This window comes from Homo sapiens, chromosome 13 (assembly GCF_000001405.40).
Source record: "Homo sapiens chromosome 13, GRCh38.p14 Primary Assembly".
NCBI classification, from domain to species: domain Eukaryota; kingdom Metazoa; phylum Chordata; class Mammalia; order Primates; family Hominidae; genus Homo; species Homo sapiens.
The window spans coordinates 94,597,269-94,625,265 of NC_000013.11; the positions used below are offsets into that span (position 1 = coordinate 94,597,269).

Here is a 27,997-nt window from a genome sequence, read left to right on the forward strand (position 1 = left end):
CTCTCCTTTGCTCACTCCGCCCCAGCCTCCCCACCCTCCTTGCTCTTCATTCAATGTGCCAGGCATGCTACTTCCCCGGGACCTTGATTGTCTTTCCCCAGATGTCTGCCTAGTTTTTACCCTTACTTCCGTTTTCAGCTTGAATGGCATCCTATTGACCACCACAATTAAAATAGCGAGCTCTGCCCAACCCTGCCGAATCATCTTATCCTTCTTTATTTTTCTTCCTAGCACTCAACATTTACATTGATGTCACTGCCCTCTGTTTAGTGTTCCATGAGGTCAGGGGCTTTGTTTTGTTTTCTGCTGTAATCGCATGTCCTTAGAGACTTGGCACAGAATAAATGACCATTAAATATTGTCGAATAGATAAATATCTTTTTTTCCCCACCATAATGTTTGGCAAAGCTGAAAACGAATGGAAACATCCAGTACAGGTGTATATGTGGAAGAATCATACCACAACCTTTTTACAAGGCAAAGTGGTAAAACATATGAAAATTTCAAATGTTCATATTCTATGACCCCCTCAAATTCCATGATGTATAATATAGATAATTGTTCATTGCTGTATTGCTTGCAATAATGAAACACTGGAAATAATCTAAATGTGTATAATGTCTTCTAACTTTTAAAATGCAGTAAACTGCTATATAGCCTTTAAAAAGAATATACCAACATGGAATGAAGACCAAAATATATTGCAGTCGATACGTACAGTTTTTTTCTGACCAGACTCCTCCCCCCACTGTCCTTTATGATCTCCCCAAGTTGACCCAGGCAGGCCACAGAATGAAATCTGGCTGACTCTAGGCCAACTGAAGCCTCTTCTTGGGATTTAGAATTCGACTAAGGTGCTAGTATAGTCTGGTTACTCTACTTGAACTCTGAGGTCCTACAAAGCTGGAACTTTTTGGTGGCCATGTTCTTTCAAAGTGAGGAGCCAGAAAGCCTGTCTTCACAGTGAGAAAAACAAAGTTGATTGAGAAGAAAGAAAAGATAGGAAAGGCCTAACATTCAAGGCCTGTGTTATGATTTCTCTTCAGGACCAGTTTTATTCCTGTCCTTGGTTTACAAATACCACATATATTTGTGGTATTTGTAATACCACATATATTTGTGGTATTTGTGGCTTACTTGAAAGGATTGACCCTAAACTCTTAAAATAAGTTACCTTTAGGGATGAGATATGGGCAGGGAAAGGAGGAAATGGGGAGTTTAATTTTTACTTTATATACTTTTGTTTTTTTGAGACAGTCTCGCTCTGTTGCCCAGCCTGGAGTGCAGTGCCACAATCTTGACTCACTGCAACCTCTGCTTCCCAGGTTCAAGCGATTCTCCCATCTCAGCCTCCAAGTAGCTGGGATTACAGGCGCATGCTACCACACCTGGCTAGTTTTTGTATTTTTAGTAGAGATGAGTTTTCACCATGTTGGCCAGGCTGGTCTTGAACTCCTGACCTCAGGTGATCCACCCACCTCACTTCCCAAAGTGCTGGGATTACAGACGTGAGCCACTGCGCCCAGCCCACTTTATATACTTTTGACTGTGAATTTTTTTCTGAGACACATGGATTACTTGCATAATAAAGAATCCTTGCAGTTTTTTTTTTTTTTTTTTTTTTTTTTTTTGAGACGGAGTCTCGCTCTGTCGCCCAGGCCGGACTGCGGACTGCAGTGGCGCAATCTCGGCTCACTGCAAGCTCCGCTTCCCGGGTTCACGCCATTCTCCTGCCTCAGCCTCCCCAGTAGCTGGGACTACAGGCGCCCGCCACCGCGCCCGGCTAATTTTTTGTATTTTTAGTAGAGACGGGGTTTCACCTTGTTAGCCAGGATGGTCTCGATCTCCTGACCTCATGATCCACCCGCCTTGGCCTCCCAAAGTGCTGGGATTACAGGCGTGAGCCACCGCGCCCGGCCGCAGTTTTTTTTTAAAAAATCCGAAAATATTAATACTTCCAGCATATTCCTGGTCAGCCAGAAATACTGAAAATGCTGTGTATATGGTAGGAGGTGGTTCCTCAATATTTTTTTTTTCTAAATGATGAGGTCTGTTATGAGAACTTCCTTATATGTTATAGAAGCTTGTTGTTAAATGAAAATAATTTATATACATTTATTCATGAAATAATTTTGAGCTCCTACTTTTGTTACCAGTGGAGGGTCTTGACTGCAAGTTGTCCAGTTTCTTGGCATTTTGAACAAAGAATTGGACAAAATGCACAGCAAAGCAAGGCAAGAATGAAGCAACAAAAGAATGAAGCAACGAAAGAACGAAAGCAGGGATTTATTGAAAATGAAAGTACATGGCCGGGCGTGATGGCTCACACCTGTAATCCCAGCACTTTGGGAGGCCAAGGTGGGTGGATCTCTTGAGGTCAGGAGTTCGAGACCAGCCTGGTCGACATAGTGAAACCCCGTCTCTGCTAAAAATCCAAAATTAGCCAGGTGTGGTGGTGTGCACCTGTAATTCCAGCTGGAAGCTGAGGCAGGAGAATCACTTGAACCTGGGAGGCGGAGGTTGCAGTGAGCCGAGATTGTGCCACTGCACTCCAGCCTGAGTGACAGAGTGATACTCTGTCTCAAAAAAAGAAAATGCAACTACACAGCGCAGAAGGGCCTGGACACATAATCATCTTGGGTCCAAATACTCCCTAGAAGTTTCCCATTGGCCACTTGGAGCTCACCTCATATAAATGAAGTGGTGGCCCCCAATAGGTCTGATTCTTGGGGAAAGCAATGAATCAGAGGCTGAAGTGGAGTTACAAAGGTCACACTCCTGTGCAAACATCTGATTGGTTGCAAAAAGCAATGTTACAGAGTTACAAAGTTGCACTTCTATGCAAACGAAGACTCAGCTGGCAATCAGTCTGACTGGGTAGGGACAGCCAATTTCTTATCTGCCTCACAGAAAAGGTGGGGATTTGCAAAGGGCATAGCCTCTGGTCCTTTTGTTACTTAGGGTGGAAAGTTAGGGTTTTCCTTTAATAGTTCTAGAAAGTCGGTGTAAAAACGCCTTAGGTTCCCTCACCCCAGGCCCTATTCTCCTGCCTCACTTTCATTAAGACAGGTATAGCCAGCAAGGTGGCTTACGCCTGTAATCCCAGCACTTTGGGAGGCCAAGGCGGGCAGATCACCTGAGGTCGGGAGTTTGGGACCAGTCTGATCAACATGGAGAAATCCCATCTCTACTAAAAATAAAAAATTAGTCGGGCATGGTGGCGCATGCCTGCAGTCCCAGCTTCTCGGGAGGCTGAGGTGGGATAATCGCTTGAATCCGGGAGGCAGAGGTTGAGGTGAGCCGAGATCGCGCCATTGCACTCCAGTCTGAGCAACAAGAGTGAAACTCCGTCTCAAAAAAAAAAAAAGTGTAGTCACTGACCAGCTGGAGCTGACAATAGAGGCGGAGATTTCAGACACATGAATGGATACTTACAGTACAGTGCGTGAGTGCTCTGGTAGGGAAGTAAGGGATTCTGGTTCCAGGGGCATCTACTACAGACTTAGGGGTTTGAGAAAGGCTTCTTAAAGTGCCTTGGGAAGGAGGAGTAAAGGAGGAAAAGGAAGGTGAGGAGGTCCAGTGTTGGAATAAGCAGAAGTATTCTAGCCAGAGGGATCAGGGAGTGATATAGGCCTAGAAGGGAGAACTTGGGAGTGTTCAGGAAACCAACGGCGGTAAGGATGGAGATGAGAAAAAACAGACATTTGAGAGTTGAAGAGCCATATTCTAGAGTTTGGGTTGTGTGCTAAAGGCAATTGAGAACCTTTCAAGGCAAGTGCAGCAAATTGTTTCCTACAGCTTTCTGTGGCTGTAGGGTAGAGATGGATTGTAGCCAATTAGAATGAAGACTGTAGAGACGGTCTTTGCCATAGGCCAACAAAGTGATGAACTGAGTAGGACTGTGGCCGCTGCTTCCCACCCTCACCAGAAGAAGGGCTAATCCACACTTGTTATTGAATTGATTGAATTGCGGGGGGGGGGGGGCCTACAATTCCCAGCGGTCTGGTCTGCGGGCGGGGGTGGGGGTGGGGGTAATGTAATTCGAGAAGCCAGAGAACCTAGGAGGGAAAAATCGGCTGGAGATGCCAAGAGAAGGCATGCGTTAAATTGTGGTCATGCGGAGCTAAGTGTCTTTGAGACATTAAATCGGACACGTCCTGTAGGTTATACAGGCGCCAAGGAAGAAAATCTGCATAAGAACACAGTTTTTTCTTTGCGGGAGTTTAACTCTCTCGGCCAGAAACAGTCCTGTCCTGCATTTCTTAAGTTTTTTCCGAATCCCACAAGCCCTTCGAAGGCCCCGCGGACTCGTGCCAGCGCGCCCGCGCATGCTCAGTAGCAAGACGTGCTAGGCAATGAGGAGGGAGATGAGTTTTCCGTAACCTGAAGCAACATCCTCCTGATTCCTCATTAAAGAAAAAGGCGGGAACTAGTCAAAAGCCGGGGACTGATGGGACGCTAGGATCTGCGCGTCCCGCCCATTTCGGCCTCTGACTGGTGAATGTCTTCGGCTTATGGCAGAGGAGCCCGCCTCATTGGCTCTCAGGCTCCAGAGCAGCAGGTCTCCGGCGCCCACCCCGCCTCCCCCAGCTGCCGACGTGGGGCGGGCAGCCGCCGGCGGCTGGGAGCCGAGGCGTCGGTGCAGACCTGGAGACGGGCATGGGGGGGCTGCGGCTGCTGGCTGTGGCCCTCACGTGCTGCTGGTGGCCGCAGGGCAGCCAGGGTAAGACCCTGCGGGGCAGCTTCAGCAGCACCGCGGCCCAGGACGCCCAGGGCCAGCGCATCGGCCACTTCGAGTTCCATGGTAGGTCTGGGGGCGGGGAGGGGGATGAAGGCGCGCTGGCCCATCCCGCCGGCTGAGTCCGCCGGCCGCTCCTCCCGGCCCCTCCCTGCCACGTTGGGCGAGGCCGGCGACTTCCCCAGCCTCACCTGGACCTCCAGCGTTGCAGCAGCTGCCGCGAATGGTGGGATGCGTTCCTTGCCAACCCCGCTGGTGCGGCTTTCCAGCCCCAGGCAGCGGCCTCTCGCCACTAGTGATCGTGTTCCGCACCTGAAAGCTGGTTTCCATTTCCCCAACCCTCCCCTTGGAAGCCAATGTGCAAAAGACTGGTCGGCCGCATCTTTCCAGATCCTTCCCGCAAAGAAGCATATTTGCTCCTTCCTGTCTCGGCCACACTGTGACGGGAGAATTTAACCCTAGAAACTTAAATTTCCTTTTTTTTTTTTTTTTTTTTAAAGACCAATTTCCTGAGACCTACTTGCAACAGAGTGGTTTTGGAAACCAAGTAAAACACTTGATAATGTAGTTGTTATATTGAGCAGTTTGGTTACTTGGCTACTAGGGCAGTAGATTTACTATGGGCAGTAAGGCCTAGAATTAAGCTGATGAAAATGCATTTAAGTAGCATCTTGGAAGCTCCCTAATTTGTGTTCTGTGTGGCTCTTCTGAAATCAGAGTTGCGTTTGATTTCAGACCTTTTGGTCTTCCTCAAAAATCAGTAATTATTCCTTCAATAAATGCATTTGCAATTCATTCTAATTTTGGTCTCATTTGCACTCTCACAATTTAAGTGTTTTTCTTGGTACTCTTAATTTGACTAGTGCTGTATTTCAAATAATTATTTGCCTTGATGACATTAGGAACTTTGATTTGTACAGTCTTTAGCATTAAAAGATGCAACGATGAACATCAGAATATTGGCCTAGAAAATATTGTTAGGAGAAGATAATAGAAACGGAACTACTTTGGTGAGAAAAGGAATTTAAAGTATTGGGAAATTACAGAATTGACAGAATAAAGGGAAGGGATCCTGATTTTTTTTTTTTTTGAAGTTTTTAAGATAGCTAAGAAAAGGAGTTTCAGTAACCCAGTTTTTCAAAATCCAATGTGGAATATATTTTGGGTGAATGAAGAAGAAACACTAGAAACAATTTTATTATTTTTTGTAACATTTTGAGTTTCTCATTCAACGGACTGTAACCATACTTTGAGTATTGACAGCCACTGTCTTAAATGGCACAATGTGGACAGTGTTGGAAAATGTGGGATGTATAGAAGACGTGGGTTATTACTTAGGACCAGCAGAGAGACTTGGACGACCTCATAGTTCCTGATGATCATCTGGTAAACGTGGAGGAGAAACATGTACTAAATTCAGATTTCTCAAGACAGATTGGGGATAAGGTGTTTCAAGTGCGTTCATTCTGTTTCATATGTGTAAAATCACATATAGTTATTACCAATTTTCATGAATCCCAATTCAGTAAAATAATAATACAAAAACTATACTGAAACAATGAACTGTAACTCGGAATGCAATTTACAGTGTCAATTGGGCCTCAGAGTCACTTGTAAGACTTCAAAATATGTAATCAATTTATGTAAGAGACTTGCACATTCTTTGATATATATACTGTATATTTAAATATATTTAAAATGTTTAATCAAAGTGGTAATTATAGTAATAAAAGCATAGAAAAAAAATTTCCAGGAGAATAGAAGATCTTAAAATGAAAAACAGTCTCCTGTCTTAGCTCTTTCACCCAGAATCCCTTTCCCTAGAGGCAATAACTTACTGCCATTTCTGTTCTGGGCCTTAAATGTAGTTGGTGTGTGCAACCAGGTTCATTCTGTATTCATCTTACAACATATATTATTCTGAAAGTTCTTTTTTTTTAAAAAGGAAGCCAGACTCGTTGGGTGGCTCCTGCCTGTAATCCCACCACTTTGGGAGGCAGAGGTGGGCAGATCACTTGAGGTCAGGAGTTCAATACCAACCTGGTGGCTGGGCGTGGTGGCTCACACCTGTAATCCCAGCACTTTGGGAGGCTGAGGTGGGTGGATCACCTGAGGTCAGGAGTTAAAGACCAGCCTAGCCATCATGGTGAAACCCCGTCTCTATAAAAATATAAAAATTAGCCAGGCATGATGGCAGGTGCCTGTAATCCCAGCTATTTTGGGAGGGTGAGGCAGGAGAATCGCTTGAACCGGGGAGGCGGAGGTTGCAGTTAGCTGAGATCGTGCCATTGCACTCCAGCCTGGGCAATAGGGCGAGAATATGTCTCAAAAATAAATTAAAAAAAAAAAAAAAGACCAACCTGGCCAACATGGTGAAACGCTGTCTCTACTAAAAATACAAAAATTAGCTGGATGTGGTGATGCTGGGTGTGGAGGCGCATGCCTGTAATCCCAGCTACTCCTACTCAGGAAGCTGAGGCAGGAGAATCAGGAGAATCGCTTGAACCTGGGAGGTGGAGGTTGCAGTGAGCCGAGATTGCGCCACTGCACTCCAGCCTGAGTGACAGAGTAACACTCTGTCTCAAAAAAAAAAGAGTTTTGCTCTGTCACCCAGACTGGAGTGCAGTGGTGTAATCAAAGCTGACTGCAGCCTCAGACTCCTAGGCTAAAGCCATCCTCCCATCTCAGCCTTCTGAATAGCTGAGACTACAGGCTCAGCCACCAAGCCCAGCTAATTTTTTTTTTTTTTAAATAGCAACAGGATCTCACTTTGTTTCCCAGGCTGGTCTCAAACTCTTGGGCTGGGAATCCACCCACCTTGGCCTTCTAAAGTGCTGGGATTACGGGTGTGGCCACTGTGCCCAGCCCCTGAAAGTTCTTTTGTAAAAGTCGTAGATACCAAATTTTGTTTTAGGTATAATATGTCTACCCCAGAACACATACATTTAAACTTTCCTGCTATTAGCTATGTTTATTTTTTATATTAAGAGTATAATTAAATATTAACACCTATGTCATATTAAAAAACAGAAACTTTGGTGGGACATTTCTATAGATTATGAATAAAATATAAAATGTGAAGTGGTTGTAAAGTGAGGCAAAAATTTTAATACAGTGAATTGTTCAAATACCCCAGATATTGCGGTTTATTGAGTGAAATATCAGTTATCAGCTGAATTTCAAGGAAATACCACACGTTCATTTGAATAATCTCTTGCTTCTGAATGTTGTGTTCATTATGATGTGATTTACCTAGTTAAGCGAGATTTAAGAAGAATTGTGCTTTTTAAATTTCCATTTTGGTAAGTAGAGGTGTTGAGTTGTCCTCATGTCTCAGTTTCATGTAAGACCAAACTAGTTGATGATTTTTGTTTTAATGTCAAGGTGACCATGCTCTTCTGTGTGTCAGAATCAACAACATAGCAGTAGCTGTTGGAAAAGAAGCTAAACTCTACCTGTTCCAAGCCCAGGAATGGCTAAAGCTACAGCAAAGCAGTCATGGTTATAGCTGTAGTGAAAAATTATCCAAAGCTCAGTTGACAAGTGAGTATATCCTTTTTTCTTTGATCATTAGATATAGTTTTTTTCCTCCTAATGTTGAAATATAGTACCATATGTACATATGTTATGTTTCCTGACAGCATAATCCCACTGTGATGACACTTTGTCTAGTACATTTTAAGCTGAGTTTTAACAGTGCCTTTCCCTTTTTATCATTCATCGTTTTTGAAAAAAAAATCCAGATAATTTATATAGGAGTCCTTTCTTTCATTGACTCTTTACAGTTTGCATAATTTATGCCAATATGGAAACTATATTTTGACCCAGTGGCAGCATGGAATGAATGGTAACATTTGTTGAATGCTAATTATCTGCCAGCACTGAGCTAAATGCCAATGTATTATCTTAGTTAATTGGGTAATTTAGCTTGAGTGATGCTGTTTCACAACATGTCATTTGAACATGAGACTTAGTTATATGGTATAAAATATGTCACTTTGACAGCCAGGTGCAGTGGCTCAGGCCTGTAATCTCAGCACTTGGGGAGGCCAAGGTGGGTGGATCACCTGAGGTTGGGAGTTTGAGACCAGCCTGGCCAACATGGTGAAACCCCGTCTCTACTAAAAATACAGAAAAAAATTAGACAGGTGTGATGGCATGCGCCTGTAATCCCAGCTACTTGGCAGGCTGAGGCATGAGAATTGCTTGAACCTGGGAGGCAGAGGTTGCAGTGAGCCAAGATCATACCACTGTACTCCAGCCTGGGCGACAGAGTGAGACTTTGTCTCAAAAAAGTCACTTTGAGATGTACCACCACCACATCATTTGTATACTTCTGGATTTGCCTCTAGAGAGGCTGTACTTTTTAAATCCTAATCTAGTGGCTTAAATCCGTGATCCCATTCATTCTCATCAACATTGTCCTGTGCATTAGGTTGCTAGCCATCCAGAGTGAGTGAAAATTTTTTTAAATACGGAAATGAAGAACATGTGCCATTGTTTCCATTTTGCACCTCGCAAGTTAATTAGGTGTAGAAGACATTAGAAATTTGAAGCATCCATGAGGAAAAATGGGAATTATTCTTCCCTTTTTCCTCTTATTATTCAGGGACTCATCCATATATGGAACATGGTAGTCTCTTCTCTTAGCCTATTCTAGTGAAGCATTCATTTCTAAACATCTGGCTTTTATCTTATCAGCTGTCTGATTCCCTCATAAGGCAACTAGCTAGATCAGTGAAAAGAGCAGAGGTCCCCAGTCCTTGCCACCCATTGTGGGGATCTTTAATGTAGATTTGTGAGATGATATTGTGAGAAGATAGTATCCTAAAGATGAATGACAATTACATACAATTATTTACTTTGACCCTGAATTCAAAACTTATCTGGGAAATACATGCAGATTCTCTTGATTGGTTGTCTCTTCCTTTCTCTGCCAGTTTGCTCATCTAAGTGTTGCACATATGTGTAAAAGGTCATGTCCTTCAGTTCCCAATTCCTCTGGCGTCTAAACTGAACTCACCATCTTCCCCATCCAGACCTGGTCCTCTTCTGATGTTCCCTGTTTTAAGAATTGGCACCACCATCCATCCAGTAAACAGTTGAGAAACCAAGGTGTCTTCTAATACTCCCCTCTTTGACCTTTCTACCCCCTCATACATCAGTTAAGTCTTGAGGTTTTACTTTTAAATATCTCTTGAATTCATCTTGCCTTTGCTATTTCGACAGTCTCCTACGTGGTTATTTTATAGCCATGCTGGTCCCCCTTCTGTAACTAGATCTTTCTAAATAGCAGATTTGGTCATGTTACATTCACTTCTTTACCACACCCTTAAAATAAATGGTTTCCCTTAACCTGACCGGGCCTCCTTAACCTGACCAGCAAAGCCATTGTAGACTGGCTGCTGCTTACCTCTCCGTTTCATCTCAGGGCATTGCCCCACTCACTGCATTTTATTTCAGTGCTACTCTGAGCCTTTGCATAGGCTTTTTCCTCTTCAGCCTCCCCTCTGGCTCCTCCGTCGATTAAGTTAACACCTAAGTTTTTATAGCCTCTTGCTTTCCTGCATAGCACTTACTATAGTTACCACTTTACATTTTATTTATTTGTTATAAAATCAGTCAATGAGAGCAGTAGGGCTCTTCTGGTGTGTTCATTCACTGAGCGCTTCCACTGTTTCATGTACTGCTAGGTACTGTTGATAGATCAGTGACCAAAATGTCCTTAAGGCTGGTGGAGGTGACCAGAATGAATCAGATGAATGTGAATAAATGTAAAATTGCAATTTTGATAAGTACTATGAATGCTAATTATATGGCACTATGAGAATGAGAATTGATGATACCCCGGTGCTTAGTTAAGTTTTTACTAAGTATTTGTAGAATGAATAGTCGTAGACCTTCATGCTTAAGGGCTTGTTGTTTGGCTGGTTGTTAGCTTTTTGTGTTTGGCATCTCAAAGACTTTTTCTATCTCCAACAAAAACTTACTAGGCAGTTTAAAGCTTTGAGCTATAGGAATATTGATTTGTTCTCTTGTATCACATAGTCAGTATTTATATACTTTATACACTTAAAAACCTCATTTTCGTATGAGTCATATTCCTGTATTCCCAGAACTTCTGTATACAGGGAGACAGTGTGGTGCAATGGGAAGACCATAAAACTGAGTATCACTGCTAGTGATTTATAACAAGAACTCGTTATCTTTGAACCTCATTTTACTTATCTGTACAACAAGCAAGTTGGACTAGGTGTCCCTAAGGTTCATGATAGTTCCAAAATGCTGCCATTCTCGTTATAACTCTTAAGGATGGAGTTACTTATGTATAGGACTACAACTTAACAAAACCTTCTGCTGTTGTTTCTTTTTCTAGTTTCTCTTTCTTTTCCCTGTTCTGTTAAGTGCAGAGGTATATTTTGAAATTGTGGAATGGAAGATAACAGGTAACAGGAATTTTAGAGGAATGAAGGTTGTTTTGTCAAATTTTGGGGCTTAAAATAAATTTAATACTGATTTCTACATATATGTACTTCACCAATTTTTTTTTCCAATAACAAAATCCAAATCTTAAGTCTCTAACTTTTATATATTGTCATATTTATGGTATGTTATTTAGGAGCTTAGGTACATTTAAACAAAAAGCATATCCTTAAATTCATGATGTAATAGTAACACATATTTAAGAATAGTTCCTTATAGCAAGTGCTTTTCTTAGCTATTAATGAGACTTAAGAGTTAACAGCCTTTCACCTATTTGGTAATGAACTCAGTAACTCTGCCCAGCTCCTACGTAAAACCTTGCTGCTGCTGTGTACTATGAAAAGACTAGCAGATTAGAAAAATCTTAGTGTTGAATGTTGCTTGACTCTCCCAAATTAATGTTTGAAAAATTATTTTTCAGTCATCTCTTTGTTCTGTCATAAAAATCTGATTTAAAAAATACTAAAAACTATTTTGTAGATTTTTAAAGCAAGCAAACAAGACATTTGAAAGCACTGAAAATGATGAGTTTATGTATTTCTATCTAAAACTTAACGAGGAGATTCGGAGGAATTTTCTATCAGATTACAAGAGCTAAATGTAATATTGTATATAAAACATTTCAGTGTTGTCTTTTTACATATTATGCATATGATTCCTTTTGTAGTTTGGTATATTTTATAAATCATTTAAAGGTGTTAGTATTTTATTGTGTGTTTTGGTTAACAGTATTCAAATCCTTTTATAATATGATTGGATAATTAGCTATTCAACACCATTCTCAGCAGTTCAAGTTTTGTTAATATTTGAGGTACTAATTACACCAGCATAGAATATGCATGCTGTGTTGTAGTCTTTTGTCTCAGAAACAATGAACACACAGTTTTGTCAAGAGGCTTGTTTCCCAGCCTTGCCGAAAAGACAGCAAGACAAAAACTAAAGGCCGGTATCACTTTATGAAGCATACTTTTATTTCTGTTTGAAGTAAATCCACATAATTTAAAATGAAACATCAAAAATATATTGGTAAAAGTGTGGGTTTTTTTTATATTTTATCTAAGAGAAAAAGGGCAAATGATAAAAATGGCAACACAGCAGAGCCTTTATATAATGAGGTCCGGATTATATAATTGCAAATTGCACATTTAAACAGTCTTATTTGTGAATCATTTATTGATCATATATTAAATTCTTACTAAAAGTCTTCCAATATTTAACAGAAACTAGAGTCTTTGCTACATTTTTCCAGAAACTGTATGTGTGTTTTTTTTTTTTTAAAGGTAGTTTAAATGTCAGCTAACTTATAGTAGCCAAAAAGCAATGCCATGGTGGTGGTAATCAGATCCTCTTGTTCAATTTAACCACCAATGAACGAAATTCCCAGTTGTACAGTCCAAGTCCTCAAAATTCAAATCCTGACTACATCTGTATCTCATTCCTAAAGACAACCTATAAATAACATTTTTCCAACTTTCCACTAGGAAAATTTCCCAACATACAGAAAGGTTGAAATTATAGTACAACCAGCATCCATATATCCTCTGCTTAGACTCAATAATTGTTAATATTTTGTTAAATTTGCTTTATGTCTATATGTATGTGATTTTTGTTTTAATTGAACCATGTGAAAATAAGCAGCAGGTATCACAGTTTGCCCCACCATACCTAAGCATACATCTTCTAAGAGTAAAGAAATTCATCTGTTTAACTATCATACACCTAAGAAAATGAGTAATTCTATAATGTCCTCTGAAATCTATTCCATACATACATTTCTAGTTACCTCAAGAAATGTCTTTTATTTATTAAAAATGTTTTTTTCTACAATTGAGAAAAAGATTAAGACTAATTTGTCCTTAAATATTGACATGTTTTGGGTGCAATCTAGAGTTGGGAATTGGGTCCATCATAATACTGTTTTAAAAATACTTTGTGTAGAATCATGCTCTTTCCATATACTTTTCATTTGCCCCTCACAAGAACTCTGCACTAGCAGGGCAGGTATCTTTATTTGACTATTGAAGAAACAAATTTAGAGAGTTTGTAAATTTATTTGCTGAGTCGCAAGGCCAAGACTCGCTCTTCTAACTCTACTCTTTTTGTTACACCCAGAACTTGAGACACTCCTCTCCTAGGCAGCTTCGTGTTAGTGTTAGTCAGTGCCTCTTAGGTCAGGTCAGATTCAGAAACCGCAATTACTTTTGCACCAACCTAATAGTTTTAGGTCCAGAAGGAATCTTAGACATCATTTTGTGTTTCTCAGAAGGGAGTGCCGTTGGCATTTTAGGGGGAATAATTCTTTGCATGAGGTTCAACACAGCCCCCCTCCAAGTATCTAACCAGCTATTGTGACAAAAAACTATCCCCTCACATTTTCAGATGCCCTGGAGGAAAGGAGATTACCCTGGATTGAGAACCACTTACTAATATAACTACCTTGTTTTAAAGAAAGGAAAAGCAGAATTGACATTTAGCAACTACTCTGTGACAGTTACCATGCTAGGTGACTCAAATAACTTAGTGCTTATATCAGCCCTTTGCTGTAGGTAGTATCTTCATTTTACAGATGAAGAAAGTGAGTGTCATTGCTTATGTAACTTACCCAAGGTCACACAACAGGTAAGTATTGAAGCCAGGATTCAAACATACATCTGAATGATGCCACACACCCCCCACCCCTGACTGTATCATACTACTTCATGTGGACCTGATCCAGTATAATAACTTCTGCATTCCTGTAATTTCTATTTTTTCTGCTTTTTGTACACCTTTAAAGAACAACCAATCAGAAAAAGATTTTGGAAAATCTTTTGAAAATACATAGTTTTTAGATATAATGATTTTGTAAGTTGAATGCTCCATTTTAAATTTAACTCGAGTAATCTTCAAAAATGTCACTGTGATTGTTGCACAGCATTGTAGATGTGCTTAATGCCATAGACTGTACACTTAAAAATGGTTAAAATGATACATTTAGCATTGTGTATATTTTACCACAATAATTTTTTTGAATGTCATTAACCAACCCGGAAACTGTGAAAATATCGAAAATCAAAATTCAAAGTTTCAGCCGCCGAGACCAAGATGGTGGCGAGACTTGGCACTTTCCTCAAGAATGCCTGGGCCAGGGAGCCAGTGCTGGTTGTGTCCTTCATCATTGGTAGCCTAGCTGTAATTCTGCCCCCACTCAGCCCCTACACCAAGTACTTCATCATGATCTACGAGACCATGCCCTACAACTACCCATTGCCCGTCCGCAATGATGGGAACATGACCAATGTGCCCGGCCACCCCCAGGATCCCCAGAGCTCCAGCTTGGAGTGGCTGAAGAAACTGAGCACCTCCACTGACAGAGGAGGCCCCTCCCATCGCTCCCAATACGAATGTGAAAACCAAAAAGAAAAAAAAAAAAAAGAATTCAGAGTTTCAGTGAAGCCATTCTACTTGTGGTGTTTTATAGTCATACTTTTATAGTGATTCCTTGGTTAAAAACATCATTTTTATCTCCTTTGCAGATAAATTCTGATTTATTCTATAAATATCTGGTTTACAAGACTTATTCCAAATACTACACAAGGTCTTGGATTTCTGAGACAATAAAAATTAAAAGATTGTCCTAACCTCAAATTGATTATATGACTAAAACAGTGAAACACATTTGAGAATTTTGTTACAAAAGGTGTTTTCTTTCTCTTTAAAGTGACCATGAACCAGACCGAACATAATCTGACAGTGTCCCAGATTCCGTCTCCACAAACGTGGCATGTGTTTTATGCAGACAAGTATACATGCCAAGATGACAAGGAGAATTCTCAGGTGGAAGATATCCCATTTGAAATGGTGTTACTAAACCCAGATGCCGAAGGGAATCCATTTGATCATTTTAGTGCTGGAGAATCTGGTAAGAATATGTATTTGAATATATCCTAAATTCAGGAAAAGATTTATGTACAAATATATTCATGTTGTATTTTTAAAATCAAAAATGAAAGCAACCTGTGTTTCCAAAACTAGAGAAATGGTTAAATTAATCTTCTTATAGCATTTTGATAGCCATCATATTAATTTTTAAAAGCAGAGTATTACTTGAGTGTATTAAAACCTGCAAAGAATAAAACAGAAAGAAGCACAAAAATATTAATAGATTATTTTGATACTCTGGGTTGGTAGAATTGTATAGTTTTGTTTGTTTGCTTGTTTGTTTTGGCTCCAGACAGGAAACAACTTGTGTAGTTTATAGTTTATACATTCTAAACATTTTTGTTTTTATGATAACCTTGCATTATTTTTATAAACAGAAAAATGGTAACAAATTAAACAATTTAAATTGTTAATGATTAAATGAGATTAGAAACTCAGCTACTTTGTATGGGTAACTCTGTACTAGCTTGTTTGAACAGATTTAGGGATTGCCTTCATTGAAGCTTACAACAATTTAGGGATGATCAGAGTCCATAATACTTCTCAGAATCAGATGTACTCATATGAAATATTTCATCAAAATGTTAGGTAACTATGTTCTGTCCTACTGAGGTAAGATTCCACCCCCAGCAGAAATGAATGACTTCTTATGATCATGATGAACATGCTATGAAGTATAACTGATTTGTAAATTAACATATTGGAGTAAGGATTTGTAGGCCATCTGTCAAAGAAAAGCATTAAGGGTTTACCTCTTCATGAGTTCATTGGCTGTTTGAAAGAGTCAATCTGCTTAAGAGAAAAATTTAATTCCATTGTATCCCATTGGCCATAGAGTGGGGTGGGTGGAGGTGAGGCAGGAGTGAGGCCACATTAGCTTAAACTGATTGTTTAGTTCAAAGTGTAAATTTGTCACAGCTAAAAAAGCAACTTGAGAATTGTGACAGTAGGTCACAAATAATGTTTTAAGGGATAAACTTTTTAAAAATATCCTTTGTTTGGAAAAAACATATATCTAGTGATAGAATGGTGTGCTAATTTTTTTTATTTTTATTTTTTAGAGACGGGGTCTCGCTATGTTGCCCAGGTTGTCTCAAACTACTGGGTTCAAGCAATCCTCCCACCTTGGCCTCCCAAGGTGTTGGGATTACAGGCGTGAGCCGCTGCACTTGGCCCTAAATGTTTTAAAGTGGTTAATTTGAAGTTCTTTCTGTGAAAGAAATGAAATAGTGTAAGCTACTCAAATTGTTTCTGAATGCAGATGAATGTAAAGGTTAAATTTCATTAATGATACTTTCGACTAGTATAGATCATTATTGGAAGTTAATTTAGTCCTTTCATTTCCTTAATCTTTTTAAAGATGCCAACTTTTTTCTGTATTTTGGAAAGGCATTGATGGAACCCAGGTCTACTAAGAGCATTGAATGGATGGTTGGACTAAATTGCTCCTCAGGTCCTTTTTTTTTTTTTTTTAATTTTATTTTTTGAGACAGAGGCTTGCCCTGTCGCCCAGCCTGGAGTGCAATGGTGCAGTCTCGGCCCACCGCAACCTCTGCCTCCCGGGTTCAAGCAATTCTCCCGCCTCAGCCTCCTGAGTAGCTGGGACTACAGGCACCCACCACTACACCTGGCTAATTTTTGTATTTTTAGTAGAGACGAGGTTCCACCATGTTGGCCAGAACTCCTGACCTCAGGTGATCTGCCTGCCTTGGTCTCCCAAAGTGCTGGGATTACAGGCGTGAGCCACCGCACACAGCCTTCAGGTCCTTTTTAACTGTAAGACTTCATTATTTCATATGACCCTTATTTTTAGGACTGGTCAAGGCTCACTAGGAAGTAATGTTCTGCTGCAGTTGTTGCATGTGCAAACCCTGCTGCCTCTAGTGGAGTACAGATCAATTAGCACTTCCTCTCCTGCCTTCCAGGCTGTAGTCCTTTGGCTCAAAAGGTGGTTTTATGTATTGAGTAGATCCATGAGACTTTTCTGGATCCTGATATGCTTTTACTTGCCTCCTTATCCAGGCTTCCATTTTTGGTCTTTTTCTTCATCACCAATTTGGCATGTAAACTTTTATCCCAGGCTATAAAGTGATCACATTTGTGCCCTGTGCCATGCTTGGACCTCTGAATCCCAGTCATACCTTGCCTTGTCCTGAACCTTGCCTATGTCTTCCAGTGTTTTCCTCAACATCTTGAGTTGTGGCTAGCTTTTCTTTATGATGCATACTAACCGTTATGATTCAGTTCTTAGTTTTGTCTCCTTCTGACCTACCTTTTCCTGATTTTTGTGACTGATTTTGATTTTATGCTTACTCTTGTGTCTAAAAGCTGTCTTTCTTATACTACAATGGGGAAGTTACATTGAGTATGTCAGCAACAATGTTTAAACAAGGGGCAAAACCTCACTATAATCGTATGTATTTTCATTAAGCATGACATTCTATGCAAGGCTTACCTTCGGGGATTAATCATTAGAAAGTGCCAGAAGTATCCAAAAGCGTCCAGCCTTGTTATGTGGCTTCCTCTAAACATCACATCATTTTATTGATTAAAATGCTTAAAAGCTTTTGTGAATAACTCTACATTGAAGTATCAATGAGTGGTTCTTAACCCATCACTGTATGCATCTGGTTTAAGGTTATGAGGGTTAAAACAAAAATTCAGATATTCACACCCAGAGACTCAGATAGATTTGGTTTGGAGTGGAAGCCAGTTAAAGCTCTAAAGTTGATTCTTATGTACAGAACCGCTGATCTAAAAGTCCATATTTCACATTGTTTTAGTAATGTGTTTTAAAATACAGCCTTAAGAGGGATTCTTCCTACTTTGTAGCCTCAGGTATGGAATTTGTTTACAGGGAAAATGTTCAATTCATTTTAGAAACTTCTGCTAGTTTGCCTAATTATCTGCTACAAGTAGGAAAAATTGATTTGCTATGCTTTTTACAGAAAATTGACTATTACCACATGTCTCAGAGGTTTGAATTAGAGTAACCTGGTGCAGATAGTTGCAATTAATGTTACAGGTTATTCTGGTTAAATTTCATAATTTGTTTTCTTTCAAACCAATTATGTATTTTATATCTACCAGACTTTGGTTAATCCTCTATTTTACAGAGTTGGTCTAGATTAAACAAAGTCAGGCAAGTGTGATGCCGATTGACAAAGTACTAAATAGGATTATAATATTTTAAGGTACAATGAAATAAAACTGCTTCTTTAAAAGATTAGAATCCTTGTTAACTGTATTTGTACTCTAATTAGAGACCAAGAAGTACCCAGAATCCTGAGAGTGTTATTACCTAAAGGCGCATATAGACTGGTTTTCACTGGAATAATACTACAGGCTCTGCCACATCTGCCATCTCACTGTTTTTAAAATTCTAGCAGCTATGTTCATTCTTTAGTGTTATCCCTTTTTTCCTCCATGTCCCAAAAGACAATGGGTTGGATCTTCCATTTAGCTTCAGTAATGTGTTGCTGGTAACATGTTGGAATGTTTTTGGCTTAAAGTAACAGAAAACCCTAATGCAAGTGGTGTAGACTGTAATGAAATGAATTATCTTACATAACAAGAAGTTTTGCGGCTTCTCCAGGGTGGTTTATTTAGCATCTCTCTACCCTGCTATCCTCAGACTATCAGTGTTGTTCTTAAGCTAGCTGCCTCAAGTTCAAAGTTAGCTGTGGCAGTTCTGAGCATCATGTCTAGATGATTGCAATATTCAGTATCACTTTTTAGGAGGAAGGAAGTCTTTCCCAGAAGCTTCCTATCACATTTCCTTTTTCAGAACTGGGTCATAGCATCATAAGAGAAATGTAAGTTGACATGAAAGAAAGAAGATAAAAGTAGACAAATATGTCAAAAGGGTTAGGTTTACCTCCTACTGGTAAGAGTATGGGAATTTCTGATTGATTTAGACTAATCAGGATATATCTTGAGACACGTGAGTGTGGGAGACCACTGGGGCTCTGAGACAAGGATCATGGGGAGGCGGGAATGTCTGTTCCAGGTGCTGCCCCAGAACCCAAGGACCCTTTCCCCTTAGGCTCTCCTCCTTTCTCATTTACCATCATTTAGCTGGGGCTAAATTTATTGAAGCTGGCCTCTAAGTTTTCTTGCTACTTTATTTTGCCAATGCTGCTTCCTTTAAGCTTGCCTTAAACCTTACACATTTCCTTACAAGTGTTCACCACCTGTTGTATGCTCATTAAGAGTATTTTTCTTCTTCAGTGTATACTTTTTTCATGTGTATTATTAAGTCTTAAGTATAATAAGATTTAACAATTAGTATCCACCTGTTTTAAAATTAGATTTTAATTTCAAAGTGAACAAAGTGAACACAAATTGAGTTTAATTTCAAAGTGAACAAACAATTTTTGCTTGTGGCAAAACAAAAAATTGGTAGCTGAAGAGAGGAAGAAAACAGACTTTTTTAAAGAGATGATTTGTTTAAAAGAACACTGAGTGCAGAGCTAGCATTTTATCTTTTAAGCATTTTATGTACAGTTTTAAGGGAAGAATCATCTAAAATTCAGTGAATAAAGTGTGGGACAGACCCAGTTCAATTTGTTTAATATGTTATGTCAATGAAATAATTTTTGTGTTCGTTATAATGTTAGCTTTTTCTGGAAGATTATTAACTTTGAATAATCCTAAGACATTTTTTGCTGGTGACATATATCTTATTTTCCAGAGTCCCTTCCTTCTATATTATTCTCATTCCTCAGTAAATAACCTGAGGATTTTCTTTTCATGGTAGAGTTGTAACTTCATGGAGTCAGAAACTTTATCCTGTAAGTCAGAAACTTTAAAGATATTCTGTAAAATATTATAAATAAATAAAACTTTAAATTGAATGCCATGTTTAATTTTTTAATACTAAGAAGGAAAGATAAAAACTAAGATTCAAAACACAGGATAGCATAAGGAACTTTACTGACCCACAGTTGTTATAATATATTTAGCATTTTTATTTTCTGTCTTGTTCCGGTACTATAATAATCCCAGGATTATGTTGCCATTATTTCTAAGGCTGGAATGCTTTTCTATGTAAGGTGTTTAAAAAGAAAATATGTTCTTTCTTTTCCCTTCCTGAAGTCTAAACATGCTTTTTCACCTGCACTAGAAAAGTTAACTGTCCACATTTATATTCATAGAGCAGGAGAGACACCCAGTGGCAGAAATACTTTTTGCTGCTTTTTTCCCCCTAACGAGGCCAAAAGCCTGATTGAGCTATTTATTGATTCTTATAATTTGTGTCTTCTGATTGCTTTTACAAAATTATTTTCCACATAATAGAAATATTTTCTTCTCTGACTGTTAATTGGAGTTTACCCGAATGGGAAACTAGAGCAGGCTTGGTGTTCGCTATTGGAATGAAAGTTCATCCATAGACTCAATTAAGACAGCTCTATTCACACCACTGTTAGAGCAGTCTGGTGTTAGATAGAATGTAAAAGCCTTAATATTAGGGACTGTCTTGACATGTAAGCAAGTAAATGTTAGCTGTTAAACTGAAAGCTAGCCTGCTGCTTTATTATAAAAATTTTCTGAAATTTCTGAAAAATGGAGACTCAGTCAAAAGATTGCACGTGAACACAGAAAAAGTGACATAATAAGGTTACATGAAGACTGTACTAAAAAGCTGCTAGTAGGCACTAGAGGCTGCTCTAATGACTGGTTCCATTTTTAATACAAAGTCTGCACATTCTTTGTTCTTTGCCAGCCATCTGTCTTTCCTCACTTGTAATTTCTACTCCCTCAAAACTTTGGTTTTTATCATGGCTCAGTTTGATTCGTCTGGCCTGTCCCAACATCAGCTCCTTTCAACTTCAATTTCTATGGCCTCTTTCCTTTCTGCTTTATAGTTTGATCTACTAAGAGAAGATGATTAGCCTAACTTAGCTTTCAGAATTGTTACGTTGTTGGCCCCTTGCATTGGTAGCCATTTGGTTAGGTGTTAGACAATTTTCAGCCAATCCTGGCATGGAGTCGCATGATCAGCACAGGATTTTTTTTTTTTTTTTTTTTTTTGGCAAGAGCTGCAGACAGTTTATCTCAGAAGATATCTCTGGACATGACAGATATTTTGAAGGTTTGTCCAAATGGAAATTCAAGGTATTGGGACATTCCAGAGCTGTGGTCCTCATGTGTTAGCTATATCAGAATCATGCTTAGGGCTTACTAAAGCACAGATTACTGGGCTCTACTCAGAGTTTCTGATTCAATAGATCAAAAACTGGATGGCACTCAAGAATTTGCGTTTATAACAAATTCCCTGGTGATGCTGCTGGGCAAGAGAACACACTTTGAGATGCATTGTCAGGGCATATTAAACTGTTATTGACTGAGGTAATCTATTTCTAAACTTTTTACAAAAGAAATTCACTTTGGGGGTAAAATGTATATCTAACTGAATGCTGAAATCATTATTTTCATTTACTGTTTTCAAACAAAACTGTGATTTTATGATGAGTCTTTGGGTTCCCCTGACCATTATGCTTTCTTACAGATTGACCTTAACTAGTTTGGTTTAATCTGCTTTCTTGTAGTTAAAATTTTGCCCCAAGGTACAAAATTGTTTAAGTTTTAATAATTTTTTTTCTCTTACAAAGGTGAATGCTATGACTCCAGTTAAAAAACAAGTTCTAGAAATATATTGACAGGGAGATTTGAAAGCAGCCCAATACGATAACTGGCTTTGTTTTACTGAAGCAAACTCCCTTTCTTCTCTTCACAGGGTTACATGAGTTCTTTTTCCTCCTAGTCCTAGTGTACTTTGTGATTGCTTGCATTTATGCTCAATCATTGTGGCAGGCTATTAAGAAAGGCGGACCCATGCACATGATTTTAAAGGTTCTGACAACTGCATTGCTGTTACAAGCTGGTTCAGCTTTAGCTAATTACATTCATTTCTCCAGGTAACTCAAAACCACTAAAACTGTGTTCATCATTACATCTAATTAATCCTAATTAGTCCACCAAAATTATGCTTGCTTTGATTATAAACAATTTTTTTCACATTTGTAATTTACACTACTCTTCTTCAATTCCTCAGTTACTCCAAAGATGGAATAGGGGTACCATTTATGGGAAGTTTGGCAGAATGTGAGTATCTTTCTGAGCATTTTTTAAAAAGCTTTTACACTCGCTATCTGCTTTTTTTTTATTTCTTGTCATAGTATAAATTTTCTGTCGAAAATTGTTTAGAAATCAGCTTGACTGAGAACAGGATTACAGTTTAAGTTCCCATATGTCTTACTTAGTTTCTTCTTAATAATAGGTAATGTGTACAGCTCCTCGTTGTTTTTTTGTTTGTTTGTTTGAGACAGGGTTCTTACTCCGTAGCCCAGGCTGGAGTGCAGTGGCACAGTCACGGCTCACTGCAGCCTCAAACTCCTAGGCTCAGGTGATCCTCCTGCCTCAGGCCTTCCCAGTAGCTGGGATTACAGGCACATACCATCATGCCTGGCTGATTTTTAAATTTCCTTTTCTGTAGATGGGGTCTCACTATGTTGCCCAGGCTGGCCTTATACTCTTGGGCTTGAGGGATCCACCCACCCTGGCCTCCCAAAGTCCTGGAATTACAGGCATGAGTCTCCACACTCTGCCTTTTCATTGTTTTTAGGTATATTTATATACATTCTCTCATCTTATCCTCAATAGAAAAGGGGTCTGCATATCCTTATTTTGCAGATAAAGGATCTGGGCTCAGTGATGTGAAACATACTTCCACATGTCAGTCAGCTATTGAGTGGTAGAGACTAGACTCAGACCTAAATTTTCTTACCTCAAAGCTGAAGTTTTTCTTCCTATTATAATTCCACTCTCTGTTATAACTGACTCTTTTCTATTTCTGACCCAAAGCCTAAAACTCACATCAAAATATGCTGTGAAGAAAAGTGATAAGTTTTCTTAAAAATCATTAAATGCTACCTCATAAAATAAATATATATATGAAACTTGAAGCATTTATAGATTTCTGTTGTTTTCTTGTAGTGTTAACCTGGATACAGGTGGTTTTGATACATCTTTTCTGTTTGAAGTAGCAGGCTTCCCCTGCAGTGTAGGTGATGGCCACCTGGTGGCACATCACACTAATGCATGGAGCTTCTCATTTGTCTTCAGGATTCTGAAAGTAAAGCCAATGTTTGGATGTTATGGGAGCTATGCATTTCATTGTATTGTTTCTTGTTAATAGTTTTAGAAAATACTCTTCACATTATAGTTCAGCCATCAAAAAAAATTCACCCAGAAATGAAGGTACTAGTATTCTCCATATTGCAGAAATCGTATTTAGAATTTGCTTTAATAAGCAGTGAGTTATAGAGAACAGGATTATGTAGTTAGAAAAGCTAAGAAAAATGGGAAACGAAAAGAGTTAAGGTTGGACTTAATGGACATATGGTATGGGCATATATATGTATTTTTAAATAGTATTGCTGCTGTTTTAACTATTTTAATAAATATATTACAAAATTTATGGCAATTTTTAAATCTTTAGAATTATTACCTGCGAATATCTCTTAATGAATTTCGTTAGCTTCTCTTTGAAAATGGCTTTTTGTGGTTTTTCTTAAAAAAAAAAAAAGATGTTCTCAATGCAAAAAGCACTAAATTTTTTATATTGTGAAAACTTGGTTGACGTTGGTTTTCATGTCCCATTAGTTTTTGACATCGCTTCCCAAATTCAGATGTTATACTTACTTTTGAGTCTATGCATGGGTTGGACAATAGTCAGAATGAAGAAGTCTCAAAGCAGACCTCTCCAGTGGGATTCTACGCCTGCATCCACTGGCATTGCAGTATTCATTGTCATGACACAGGTGGGTATTGATACTCAGTGTTTCTGCTTAGTAATCCTCAGAAATGCAAACTTGAGCATACCTCATTTCAGAATTGAAACCTGGGACCCATAAGGAATTTGTGTCATTTTTTTTTTCTTGAAATTTCTGAGCTTCTACAATTTGTGTCATTTAAAGTATGAATTTAAAGAGTGTTAGATCAAATAATCTTAATTATCTGGATGCTACTATATGTAGACTGCAGAATTTAATTATAATTTACCTGAATTTGAGCTCCTATCAGCTTATTTAAGCACAGTATGTTTAATACTAGGTTAGAGTCTTATTTCCTACTTAATAATAGCTTTCTTTCATATTTCTCTAGCACATGGTAAGTACTTAACACTGAATGAGTGATTCCATGAATTTGAGATTTATCCATTGTCAAGAATCTTTAGGATTGGCTGCTTTGTACGTAAAAGAATTCAGGTGATTATCTAAGATTAATTAAAGGGCAAAATATAGACTAAAAAAGAATGGGATCTTGTTTTTGAAAGCAAATGTAAAAACAAAACTAGTCTTTTATAAAGGTCCTGCATGCCTTTTTTTTTATTTTCCTCTATATTAATAGTATTGACATTCTAAGATACCCATATGCCTATGTTCAATGGATTTGTAAAAATTAAGAAGAAAGGTTATAAAGAAAAAAATTTGTACTGAGTTTTTGATGAGCATTAGCTATAGATGAAAATGAATTATATACTTAGGCTCTGTAGAGGACATTATAATGTAAGTTTAATGCATTAAATAAATTGAAAAATGTATTAATGAAGGATGGGGTCAGTGCTTTATTCATCTTTCTATCCCTAGTATTTAATATAGTAGGTTTTGAGTGGAATAGGAGTATTGAATTTACATGAATGATTTGAGAGAGACCATATCACAGGTGGTGATATTTAGAAAGGAGGTAGTGCCAGGAAAGGGGATGATGAGAAATAATTGAATTAGAAGAATTGATTAAAATAAGGTTGAGATTCTACCAACTTAATGTTTTTGAGCCAGGACTTATGGAGAGTAGTGTCAATGTCAGGTTAAATTCTCACTTTTTATTTCTTTTTAAAAATTTCATTTTTATTATTTCATTGTAATTTTAATTTATTGTCATAGACAAATATGAATTGAGAACTGAGATAATATTACACTAGAGTTTATATGAACATTTATGAAGAATACATTAAATATAGCTCTGATCTTCAACAAGCCAGACAAGGCAGATCAGACAGGCAGTCAGAGACTATACAAATACATACGTATTTTATACAGATCACATATTAGCATATGTATATGAAAACAGGGAAGTTTGAATATGTAAAAATATGAACCATGGGCTGTGGTAGCTCTGTGGTAGCACTTCTGTATTGCAAAAGTGAAGTTCAGAAATGTTGGTTAAGAAATCAGGAACCTCCACCTCCTGGGTTCAAGTGATTCTCCTACCTCAGCCTCCCAAGTAGCTGAGATTACAGGTGCCCGCCACCACACCCAGCTAATTTTTTGTATTTTTAGTAGAGGTGGGGTTTCACCATGTTGGCCAGGCTGGTCTCGAACTCCTGACCTCAGGTGATCCACCCACCTTGGCCTCCCAAAGTGCTGGGATTACAGGCCTGAGCCACTGTGCCCGGCAGCAATAGAATTTTTTAAAAATCTCTTAACTGTGGTCTCACTTGATAAAAATTCATTTTGTCTAGCTTAGGGTATTAGAGTGATGAAAAGACTGTACTTTATTAATTAACAACCTCTATGGTCTGATAGGAATGTTTATATAACATTTAAAGGGATGTTTATTAAAGAGTTGAAAAAAATATTGTAATGAGGTATATTTTTTTTTCCTAAATGTAATATTGTTTTTCTTTTGCAGAGTGTTTTGCTACTTTGGGAACAGTTTGAAGATATCAGTCATCATAGCTACCATTCACACCACAACTTAGCAGGGATCCTCCTAATTGTTCTAAGAATTTGCCTAGCATTGTCATTAGGCTGTGGACTCTATCAGATCATCACAGTGGAGAGAAGTACACTCAAAAGGGAGTTCTACATCACATTTGCCAAAGTATGGGTTTGGAAAGAAAATCGTTTATTCTGATTATCCACTTGGTTCTGGTTTCTTTGGGAAGTTAATAAACAACTACATGCTAACTTTTATTAAACTTCTGGGTTGGGCACAGTGGCTCACTCCTATAATCCCAGTGCTTTGGAAGGCCAAGACAGACAGATTGCTTGAGCCCCCAAGTTGGAAACCAGCCTGGGCAACATAGACCCCATCTCTACAAAAAATTAAAATTAGCCACGCTTTGTGGCGAGCACCTGTTGTCTCAGCTACTCAAGAGGCTGAGATGGGAGGATTGCTTGAGCCTGTGCATTGAAGGCTTCAGTGAGCCAAGATTGGGCCACTGCACTCCAGCCTGGGTGACAGGGCGAGACCTTCTTTTTTTCAAAAAAAAAAAAAAAAAACTTCTGTTATGTGACAGACACTACCATAAGTTCTTTATGTGGTTCAACTCATTTAACCTTAGCAACTTATGTGATGTAGGTATTATCCCTATTTTACAAGACCTGTGAGACAGTATTTTCCATATATTCTTTGCGGGTCAGTTTTGCCTGGTTCATAGTTTCATCAATAGGGATTTTACATTTTTTTCTGTAATACCAGAATTTTAAATTTTTAAAATCAAATATGGTTTGGATTTCTCAACAGTTATTAATTGACTATAAACTGTTATTCTCAGAGTTATGCAGTGTTTTATAACAGTTAGGAGCTATCCTTCAGCATAAGCAGCTGGAGCCAGGAGGCTGAGTCCATGTGTTTCAGCCAGCCTCACCCCATCCACATGAGATCGTGTCACTTTATTCCTCCTTTCTTGACCTTCTTGTGCTAGTGAGATCTAAAAGCAAATTCAGTTTTTTTTCTATACAGGAGAAGGGTTAGAGCAGTAACATTATAGAACCTTCCCTCCCTAGAAGGTTTCATTTTTCTGTCAGATTGAGAGAATCCATACCCCTTCATTTTAGCCCTGCGAACCAGCATTCTGATCAGACTGATTCTGTTCAGGCAGCCCACCTTGTCCAGAGTTATTGGCCGTTATTCTGAGGCAGCTATGGAAGGAGAGCCAGATTCCTGCTTTATTCCTAGTGTTGAGCATTGCAAAGCTGCTGCTGCTGCAGCCCTAAGAACCAACTTCAGGCTTCTGAGCGCAAGACAAGAAGATGTCATCCTGCCTTTGAGTTTTTCAGAGGGACAGTAGTGCTTATTGTTTGATAAGTTAATATGTATTTGAGGTGTTTAGGCATTAAGTTTTCTTATTTTGCTTTTTTCGTTGTTGTTTTTGAGACGGTGTCTCGCTCTATCGCCCAGGCTGGAGTGCAGTGGCGTGATCTCGGCTCACTGCAAGCTCCGCCTTCCGGGTTCATGCCATTCTCCTGCCTCAGCCTCCCGAGTAACTCGCGCCCACGCCCGGCTAAGTTTTTGTATTTTTAGTAGAGACGGGGTTTCACCGTGTTAGCCAGGATGCTCTCGACCTCCTGACCTTGTGATATGCCCGCCTTGGCCTCCCAAAGTGCTGGGATTACAGGCGTGAGCCACCGCACCCAGCCTTTCTTTTTTAAGATGGAGTTTCGCTCTTGTCCAGGCTGTAGTGCAGTGGTGCGATTTCGGCTCACTGCAACTTCCATCTCCTGGGGTCAAGCGATTCTCCTGTTTCAGTCTCTGGCATGTGCTACCACACCTGGCTAATTTCTGCATTTTCAGTAGAGATGGGGTTTCTCCATGTTGGTCAGGCTGTTCTGGAACTCCCGACCTCAGGTGATCCGCCCGCCTCGGCCTCCCAAAATGTTGGGATTACAGGCATGAGCCACCGCGCCTAGCCTCTTGTTTTGCTTTATGCTTAAAGCAGTGCAAAATTTAAAGTATTTCATGTTTTAATTTAACTTTCTAAATAGGATCAAACATCTAAAAGTATTTAAGGAGTAGCAAAAAGTTATTCTCACCTCCTCACACAATTGCTATTAGTTCTTAATT

At 39.0% G+C, this 27,997-nt stretch overlaps 1 protein-coding gene and 1 pseudogene across 1 annotated transcript in view, besides 4 other annotated features; both read left to right on the top strand.

Annotated features, from left to right (window-relative positions):
- Positions 4,327–4,621: an enhancer, noted in NCBI's record as "tiled region #4462; HepG2 Activating non-DNase unmatched - State 10:DNaseD, and K562 Activating DNase matched - State 5:Enh". NCBI's record gives its function as "activates a minimal TATA promoter and a strong SV40 promoter by Sharpr-MPRA in HepG2 and K562 cells {active_cell/tissue: HepG2 | K562}" and the evidence as "EXISTENCE:reporter gene assay evidence [ECO:0000049][PMID:27701403]".
- Positions 4,327–4,999: a biological region, named in NCBI's record as "Sharpr-MPRA regulatory region 4462".
- Positions 4,400–4,999: a silencer, noted in NCBI's record as "silent region_5435". NCBI's record gives its function as "represses an Ori minimal core promoter by ATAC-STARR-seq in GM12878 lymphoblastoid cells {active_cell/tissue: GM12878}" and the evidence as "EXISTENCE:reporter gene assay evidence [ECO:0000049][PMID:35858748]".
- GPR180 (G protein-coupled receptor 180) overlaps positions 4,589–27,997 on the top strand; it is a 32,805-nt gene continuing 9,396 nt past the window's right edge. The window contains exons 1-7 of the mRNA NM_180989.6: positions 4,589–4,804; positions 8,123–8,281; positions 14,922–15,122; positions 21,882–22,062; positions 22,200–22,249; positions 23,810–23,967; positions 25,841–26,032. Coding sequence (NP_851320.1) covers positions 4,660–4,804; positions 8,123–8,281; positions 14,922–15,122; positions 21,882–22,062; positions 22,200–22,249; positions 23,810–23,967; positions 25,841–26,032 — 1,086 coding nt within the window. The 5' untranslated portion in view covers positions 4,589–4,659. The remainder of the gene's footprint in view (positions 4,805–8,122; positions 8,282–14,921; positions 15,123–21,881; positions 22,063–22,199; positions 22,250–23,809; positions 23,968–25,840; positions 26,033–27,997) is intronic.
- Positions 6,977–7,476: an enhancer, noted in NCBI's record as "H3K4me1 hESC enhancer chr13:95256499-95256998 (GRCh37/hg19 assembly coordinates)". NCBI's record gives its function as "activates a minimal SCP1, AML or CMV promoter by ChIP-STARR-seq in naive H9 embryonic stem cells {active_cell/tissue: H9 hESC(naive)}" and the evidence as "EXISTENCE:reporter gene assay evidence [ECO:0000049][PMID:30033119]".
- On the top strand, positions 14,306–14,557 carry NDUFA3P5 (NADH:ubiquinone oxidoreductase subunit A3 pseudogene 5; annotated as a pseudogene).